The 9,052-nt window shown below is 41.7% G+C and overlaps 1 long non-coding RNA gene across 1 annotated transcript in view; it reads left to right on the forward strand.

The window, feature by feature from the left end:
* Nucleotides 1–8,923, forward strand: part of GMDS-DT (GMDS divergent transcript) — a 167,839-nt gene extending 158,916 nt beyond the window's left edge. The window contains exon 7 of the long non-coding RNA NR_046229.1: nucleotides 8,112–8,923. This is a non-coding gene — a long non-coding RNA (GMDS divergent transcript). The remainder of the gene's footprint in view (nucleotides 1–8,111) is intronic.
* Nucleotides 8,924–9,052: the final 129 nt, after the last annotated feature.

Genomic DNA, 9,052 nt, shown 5'->3' on the forward strand with positions numbered 1-9,052 from the left:
CCTGGGTGATTTCCCTGTGTCCATTATTACACACACATGCACCCAACCCGTTTTCCTTATTAGCCAGAGTGATCTTTGAAGAATGCAAATATGATAACGCCACTACCTTGCTCGTTAAACCCTTGAATAGCTTCCCATAGGTCTTAGGATGATAGTCAAAATCCTCAGAATAACCTGAAAAACGTGAATAATGCCTCTGCCACTTTAACCTAATCCTGGGCTGTTCTGTACACACACCCCTTGCTCCTCTGTCCTGCAACACTGGCTGTTTTTCTGTTCTTTAGACATGCCAAGCCCTCTACCATTCAGGCTTTTCCACAAATTTTTCTCTTTGTTCGAGATGGAGTCTCACTCTGTTGCCCAGGCCGGGGTGCAGTGGCGTGATCTCGGCTCACTGCAACCTCTGCTTCCTGGGTTCAAGCGATTCTCCTGCCTCAGCCTCCCGAGTAGCTGGGATTACAGGTGCCCACGACCATGCCTGGCTAATTTTTGTATTTTTAGTAAAAACGGGGTTGCACTATGTTGGCCAGCCTAGTCTTGAACGCCTGACCTCGGGTGATCCACCCACCTCGGCCTCCCAAACTGCTGGGATTACAGGCTTGAGACCCCACGCCCAACTGTCCACAAATTTTTCTATGCTGGAAAAGCTTGATCTAATGAACTCCTTCTTATTCTTCAATCTCAGCTAAAATTTTCTTAGAAAGGCGATCCCAATGGAAGCGATCACTCTATTCTTATCTTCCATAACAACCTGTTCTTGGCTTCCACTGCCAACAGCAGTGTATGGAAGTCCCAGTTGCTTCACGTCCCAACCAACATTTGGTTTATCAAACTTCAGAGTTTCTGACATCCTAATGTAATGGTATCTTATTATGATTTTCGTTTGCATCTCTTGGATTACTAATAAATTTGAGCATCTAAAAATAAGTTTATCGGCCATTTGAATTTCCTTTTGCATGAAATGCCTGTTTGAGTTGGTTGCCATTTTTCTGTTGAGTTGTCATATTCTTATTCATTATTAGAAAGATCCCTTGTATTAGTCCGTTTTCACACTGCTGATAAAGAAATACCTGAGACTGGCCAGTTTACAAGGGAAAGAGGTTTAATGGAGAACTCACAGTTCCACATGCCTGGGGGAGCCTCACAATCTTGGCAGAAGGTGAATGGCACAGCTCACATGGTGGCAGACAAGAGAAGAGGGCTTGTGCAGGAAAACTCCCCTTTATGATAACCATCAGATCTCATGAGACTTACTCACTATCACAAGAACAGCACGGGAAAGACCTGCCCCCCATGATTCAATTACCTTTCACTGAGTCCCTCCCACACATGTGGGAATTCAAGACAAGATTTGGGTGGGACACAGCCAAACCATATCATCCCTGTACATATCATTGATATTAGACTTTGTGGGTTATATGTATTACAAGTATCTTCTTTCACTCTTTGCCTTGTTTTCTTATTTTCTCCAGTATGTTTTTTGGTGAAAGTATGTTTTTAATTTTAGGATTGCCAAATACCTTACAAGCAGAAATTACAAGAATTTCTGCTTATAAGAGTCCGTTGGGGGAAGCTCTCTCAGGTTTTGTTTGTCTGAAAAGGTTATTATTTATTCTTCGTTCTTGAAAAAATAATTTGACTCGGTATGGAGTTCCAGGATGACAGTAACTGAAAAAATTTCGCAAACTGAAAAAAAAATTCTACTCTCTTTTGGCTTTGATTATTGTTGATAAGAAATAACCTTTAATGTAACTCCTTCCCTTTGAAGGTTGTTGTCTTTTCTCTCTGGCTTGCATTGAAAACCTGCTTGTCTTTGATGTTCTTTGGTTGTTGTTGTTGTTTTTAATAATGCATCTACCTTTGGATTTATTTTATTTAACCCACAGGGAATTTATTGGGCTTCCTGGCTCTGACAGTTTGAGTCTTTCAACAAATCTGGAAATCTCTCAGTCATTATTTTATTGAATATCACCTCTTCTTCATTCTCTCTCATGTCTTCTACTGAACTCTAAACATATATTACATCTTCTTATTCTCTCTTCCATCTCTTTGTTTCTCTGGGCTGCATTTTGGATTTCTTCATGCCTATTTTCTAGTTTAGTAATTGTTTCTTTGGTTGTGCTTAATCTGCTGTTTAACACGTCTAATAAACTTTTAAATCTGAATATTATAATTTTCATTTCTAGAAGTTCTACTTTACAAATTTGGTTCTCCTTACAAATGTGCTCATTTATTTTCAAAACTCTAAAGGAAATAAAAATATTTATTAAAATACTTGGCCAGGCACAGTGGCTCACATCTGTAATCCCAGAACTTTGGAAGGCCAAGGCAGGAGGACAGCTTGAGGTCAGGAGTTTGAGATAAGCCTGGGTAATGTAGTGAGACCCCCAACTCTACTATATATATATATGCCAGGCATGGCGGGTGTGCACCTGTAGTCCTAGTCTCGGGAGACTAAGGTGGGAGGATTGCTAGAGCCTGGGAGCTTGAGACTGCAGTGAGCTGGAATTGTGCCATTGCATTCCAGCCTGAGTGACAGCGATACCCTGTCTTCAAAAATAAATAAAATACTTATTTTATATTCTATTTGATAGGTTCCATATCGAAAATCTTGGTCTCTCTGACATCTAATCTAACTATCTATCTATCTATCTATCTATCTATCTATCTATCTATCTATCTATCTATCTGACACAGAGATGTGCCACCTATATTCCACATCAAGGAAAGAGTTGACGCCCAGATGTCTATGCCCAGCTGTGGGGAGAAATGAGCTCAGCAGGCAGCCTCCATCTGCAGGGAGCTGCCTTGCCTACGGCCATGCCCTATTCAAAATAGCCTGCATCTGAGGACAGAGTGAGGGTATCAAGACCTGGCCATTTTGTGAGGGTATCAAGACCTGGCACCTCTCATGGATGATATTTTCACACACTGGGTTGAACAAGGGTTTGTTAGAGCTACATTACAGTTCAACTTCTCCTTCTCCTCCCTTTCACAGTTGCTGACCCTAATAAACACTGTATTCCAAGGTCTGACCCTGTGGCTGCTTCCAAAGCACCCAATCTGCAACATGTGTGGGTGTGTCTGCATGTTCTGCTGCTACTTGCTCATGTTCCTGGCTCTTGTTCCTTGTTTCCTTCTGTATTTCTGTTTCTTGAGACTTTATCTGTTGAAATTCTTTGAGATTGAGTTGAGGTTGGGTTCCTTTTGAGAGTACAGATGGTCCCTGACTTATGATGGTTTGACTTCACAATTTTTTGACTTTACTATGGTGCAAAAGTGATATGCATTCACGGAAAACTGCATGATCCTCTTTTGAGATGCTAGGCAGTCAGCCAGGGGATCATGATCGTAAGGGCAAACAACTGATAAGTGACAGTGAGCTGTGTTGTCTGTTGCCCAGCTGCAGGCTAATGTAAATTCTGAGCACAACGAAGGTGACTAGGCCAAGCTCTGATGTTTGGTAGGCTAGTCATATTAAATGCATTTTAGACCTATGATATTTTCAACTTACAATGAGTTTATCAGGAGGTAACCTCATGGTAAGTCGAGGAGCACCTGTATATGACATTTCTTCTAGAAGTCACCTGGGGCATGACCAGCTTGAGACCAATTTGTCTGTTTTTTCAAAACACAGACATAGTGTGTATTGGCTGAAAACCCATATGAGTGGGGATTGTAGTTAAGACTTCTCAAGATAGGCATGTTCTTTCTTTCCCCTTCTTTGCTAGTCTGTTTCCTACTTACCCTTATACTAAGGCTATAGATGTTCTAGGCTTCACTTGGTGGGGCAGTCTCTCCACCTTGGGTGGGCTTAATTTTCTGTTTCTCATGCCCCTGTAGCTCTCAAATGGAAACGAAAGGTCATCAGAGTTCAGTACTTAGTTTTGGGTGGAGGCTGCTTTGGATCTTCCTTACTTTCCGTAGTTCCCAGGCTCAGTATCTTACTTTGAAACTGGAAACTCCTGCTTCCAAGTTTCAGAGTAAGATAGATGCCTCACTTTATTGCTGGCATGTTGATTCACTAAAATGTTATTTTCTTTTGTTTCATATTTATCCAGTTTCATTTATTTTCCTTTTCTGAAATTGGGGCTGGGTCATTTAGGGTTTCTAGTCCACCAGACTTGGAAATAAATGTCTGGAGTCACGTTTAAGTGGACTTTACCTAAAAGGGCCACCTGGAGAGCCAGAGACCCGACCGGGGAGAGAGTTTGTGTTGATTGGACCATCAGAAACAGAGTTAATAGGGAGTTGTAAGTGGCTAAACATGGGAAGCAGGGAGCTTTTTGAGAGATCCACAGTTATGCAGAACGTCTCTTAAATGTACTCCAGGAAAAATAGTCAGTTTTGGGGGTCCCCAAGACAAGGGAGCACTATTAGAAGGTGGAGGCACTGTCTGCCAAATCAGAGCTTCCCTGGCCTTGGCTTTCTCCCAGGAGGAGCCAGAGGAGGATTTGTGAGGAGGGGACAGTACAGAAGCATGAAGCTTAGAAAGACAAGAGACCCCTGCCCACTCCAAGGCCTCCAAGGCAAAGCCGAGAGTGGGGAGAAGCTTTAAGTAAAGTTCAGAATTTTGATTAAGACAGAGGAACAAGTACACCAATGGCAAAAAGAAGACCACTCTTGTATATTCTTACAACTATGGTTGTACCCAATCTCCCTTCCAGAGGAGGGCAGGAACAAATTCCACAGGACAGGTTGAAATGAGGGGTGCATAGAATAAAGGCATTTCCTGGTAGAACCTTGTGAATCCTCTCTTTTAACATGGAAACTGCCTAGGATTCATGCCAGAATACCAAGTAGTTGGAGGGATAAGAGTAGGTAAGGAAAAATGGGGTTTCAGTATGCTTTTTTGTTTGTTTGTTTTTGAGACAGGGTCTTGCTCTGTCACCCAGGCTGGAGAGCAGTGGTGCGATCACAACTTACTGCAGCCTTGACCTCCCGGGCTCAAGCAATCCTCCCACCTCAGCCTCCCAGGTAGCTGGGATTACAGGCACACTCCATCAGGCCCGGCTAGTTTTGTATTTTTAGTAGAGATGGGGCTTCACCATGTTGGCCAGGCTGTTCTCAAACTCCACCCACTTTGGCCTCCCAAAGTGCTGGGATTACAGGAGTGAGCCACCGTACTTGGCCATTTTTTGTTTGTTTGTAGAGATGGAGTTTCACGGTGTTACCCAGGCTGGTCTTGAACTCCTGGGCTCAAGCAATCTGCCCATCTGGGCCTTCCAAAGTGTTGGGATTACAGGCGTGAGCTACTGTGCCCGGCTGCTCTTTATTTAAAGTAAGGGGGATTTGAGTACATTTCTCTGTGGTTGAGAATGAGCCTGTATAGAAGGAGACGGTGAAGGAAAAGGAGAGGGAGATAGTCATGAGAGGGAAAGTCCCTTGGATGCAGAAGGGTGGGCTCCAGAGTGGAGGTGAAGTAACCATAGATGAGGGGGGAGGGCACCTGTTTCATTTTAATAGGGAGGGAGAAGAAAAGGTGAATGTACTTACAGGTTAAATCTGTATATTTTGTGGGAGAAATCTGAGGGATTACTGATCTGATGACTTCTTTTCTCTTTGAATTGGGGCAGGGTTATTTTCTTAGGGTAAAGGACCAGGTGATGGGGTGATGAGTTTTAGGCAAATCAAGGCCACTTGAAAGAGCTTCTCTGGAGGATGGGGGGCCTTGTCGCCCAACCAAGGCTGAAAATCAAGAATTCATAGTGGAACTCGTTGGATACAAAGCAGATGGGGACAGCTGAGGGTCCCTGTGCAGAACAAACTCAACCTTTCTGGTGTCCAGAGTTTTTAGTCTTTAACATAGAATTTCTTTCTCCCCCTTCCCTCTCTTCCTCCACAATTTCCCAATTTCAGGACTCCTTGATGTAGGTTGTAATCTGATCAGTTAGAGTGTCATTTTTCTCAATTAAGTCCCTGTGCTGTGACTTGATTGAACAAATACCTCTGTCTTCAACCCTAGCACATTATGTATAATATCGCTCTTGGGATAGGTTCTTTCTGAGCATGACAAAACTGTGCCAGTATGTCTTTATTCCTGCAAGTATCGTCTTCAAAAATTAGTAATCTTAAAATTCAGGGAACTTCACCAGAAGCTTCCATCTGCTGACTGCTGGTGCAAGGAAATAAAGACTCAGATGCTTGATGGGGGTGCCACTGCAGCGGTCATCCAACTTCAGCAGTGTCGTAACCACGAGGGCTGTGGGCGGCCTTCTGGGCCCTACTCTTAGAGTTTCTTATTCAGTTGGTCTGGGTCAGGGTCAGAGACTTTGAATTTCTTCTAAGTTCCCAGGTGGTGCTGCCAGTCTGGGAACCATACTTAGAGAACCACTGTGCTGAAATTATAAGACAGGTGGTAGCAAAGCTTCATAATGGTCATAGTCGAGTGGTCCTCATCTTTAATCTGAATAATGCACTCAAAGTCAAGTTTAAAAGGAAATATATCCTAAAGAGATCCTCTTGCTGGGTTCCTCAATTTTGTTGAGCAATGTTCTGCTTACTGTTTTCAATGTTGCACTATTTAATCAGGTCTACATGTAAAGAGGAAGGTGGAAGAGATAGGCAGCTCTGGGCCCCTAAAGGCGTGAAGGATACCATCAGAATTGTGCTGTCCCAGCTTCCTACACACAAAGGCAGATGAAGAATAGCTATTGGGTTTTTGCTGGCATCTTTATGTCAATATTATGGATTTTTTTTTTTTTTGAGATGGAATCTCACTCTGTCTCCCAGGCTGGAGTGCAGTGGCACGATCTTGGCTCACTACAACCTCCGCATCCTGGGTTCAACCAATTCTCCTGCCTCAGCCTCCCGAGAAGCTGGGAATATAGGCTTGTGCTACCACACCCGGCTAATTTTTGTATTTTTAGTAGAGACGGGGTTTCACCATGTTGGCCAGGCTGGTCTCGAACTCCTGACCTCAAGTGAATTGCCCCCTTCGTCCTCCCAAAGTGCTGGGATTACAGGTGTGAACCACTGTGTCCCACCAATATTATGGATCTTAATGGCTGATGAGAAAGAAATGTTACAATGTTTCAGTGACCCAAATCAACCCAAGGCTTTAGACTTAAATACACCAGACCAGGTCTTACTTAGAATAAAAGCTGAAAAAGGAACTTGTACTGAACATTCCATAAAGATAAGACATGATAAATACTCACCATTTGGATATTGACAAGATGATTAAGGTCACAAAAGGTCAAAACCCATCATATTTTCCAAAGCCAATGATGGGGAGAACTTCTGAAGTGGTGGATCAAGTACAATTCTAATAAGGGACCAGGGTAAGTGACTTGGCAACAATTTCCTTGGGAAGCTGCCAAAATCTTATCTTCAGTCTCAAAACTCCTATCCGCAGTCATAGCTAGTCTAGAAAGGTAAGTCTTGATTTCTTAGCTAAATGAGTAAAGTTTGTATTCTAGAAAGAAAATAGAATACAAATAAAAATAATAATGGAGAAGCAAACTTAAATTCACGGAATTAAGTCTTTAGTGAACCAGTTTGGGTATAAGTGTAGTGATCTGTTTTGTATTCATTATGATAATTTTGTTTCCTTTTTACATGTTTAAAGCATCACTAAGACTTATGCCATTTAAATGTTTGGAAGAATCTGATTAATTTTTTATATTATTTAATGCTTAAATGTTTAGAAGGGTCAAATTTGTTAAATGCATAGTTTTGTTTAATACTTAATAATTTAGCTTTTTATTTAATATTAAGTTATGAAAGCAGTGTATATTTACAGAAGTGTTAAATGTTTTAAAAATGATCAGCAGACAATAAAAAAGTACAAATAATGGTGAGCATGTTTCTCTCCAGACATGAAAGCCAGATAGGGAAGAATTTGCAGCCTCATACTGATTGGCCAGTTGAGGAGTCAACTCATCTCTCTTATAGAAAAAAGAAGATTACATTTACGGAATACAGAATATACTGTGCTCTCTACTTACCAAGAGATTTCTTTCTCTACTGACAACTTTCTGTTGACGTGGTTACTGTGCAGGTTCTGACAGTCGATTCTTTCCACCTAGTTCACTGCTGAAGCTATAATGATTTCCATTTTGCAAAAAGAGGATGATTACTTATTATCTGTGACCATTTCTCAATTCCAGAACAATTGAGCTGCATAGTCCCTGCAATCTTATAAAGGCATTTGGCCTGGAAGATGCTCTGCAGCCATGTGCCAAGAATAACGGCTATAGGGACAATGTTTCATTAACCCCAAAGCAGCAACCTGAACCTCTTACTGTACAATATCTGCTCCGTTCAGAATTAGCTCGACTTGAGTCACAGGATGAAGCTTACCAAAAGGAATTTCCACGTCCAAGGAAGGAACCAAGATCACTGAGAGGTTATAGTATGAAAAGTGAAGAGAAAAAACCTATTCTAAACATTTTATTAATTGTCAATAATTATTTTAAAATATTTAATATAGTCTCCTACCTGGTCCACTGGCATCAAGCTGCCAAATTTACACGGTCACTTTGGGAAGCCAGCTGGCAGGCAAACATGGAAAGTGCTGGCTCCTAGCGTAGTGAGAAGACCACAGATAGATGGTAATTTTCTTCTTTGTTTTATTTTTCTTTTTCTTCTCTCCCTCTTTTTCTTCCCTCTTGCCTTTCCCTCCCATTGCCCACTTTCTTTTTTTGGCTGCCGAAGATTTATTGCCTTTCAGTACTTATAGATGATGTTTTCATAAGTTCTAATGAGGTCCCAGCAGTTTTTAACAATAACAGGACATTACTGTTCCTAAGATATATTATGTGTTTTCCCTCATCTTTCTCCCTTGAATGAAATGCTTAGAAGTAGGCTAACCCCCAATTCCCTTCCCTTTACTATGATAAATGGCTCCATTACTTAATAGGGCTAAATACTCTGCTGTGACTTTTATACTGCTGATTTGAATAAAATCTTACGAAAAGCTTTTCTCGTGTGTTTTTCAGGTACTTTCTAGGAGAGTACCTGAGCACGTGCATGCAAACACCTGTGTATTATCAGCCTTGAGAATCCTCTTTTTTTTTTTCTTTCTGAGACAGGGTCTGGCTCTGCTGCC

Source organism: Homo sapiens, chromosome 6 (assembly GCF_000001405.40).
Source record: "Homo sapiens chromosome 6, GRCh38.p14 Primary Assembly".
Lineage (NCBI taxonomy): Eukaryota > Metazoa > Chordata > Mammalia > Primates > Hominidae > Homo > Homo sapiens.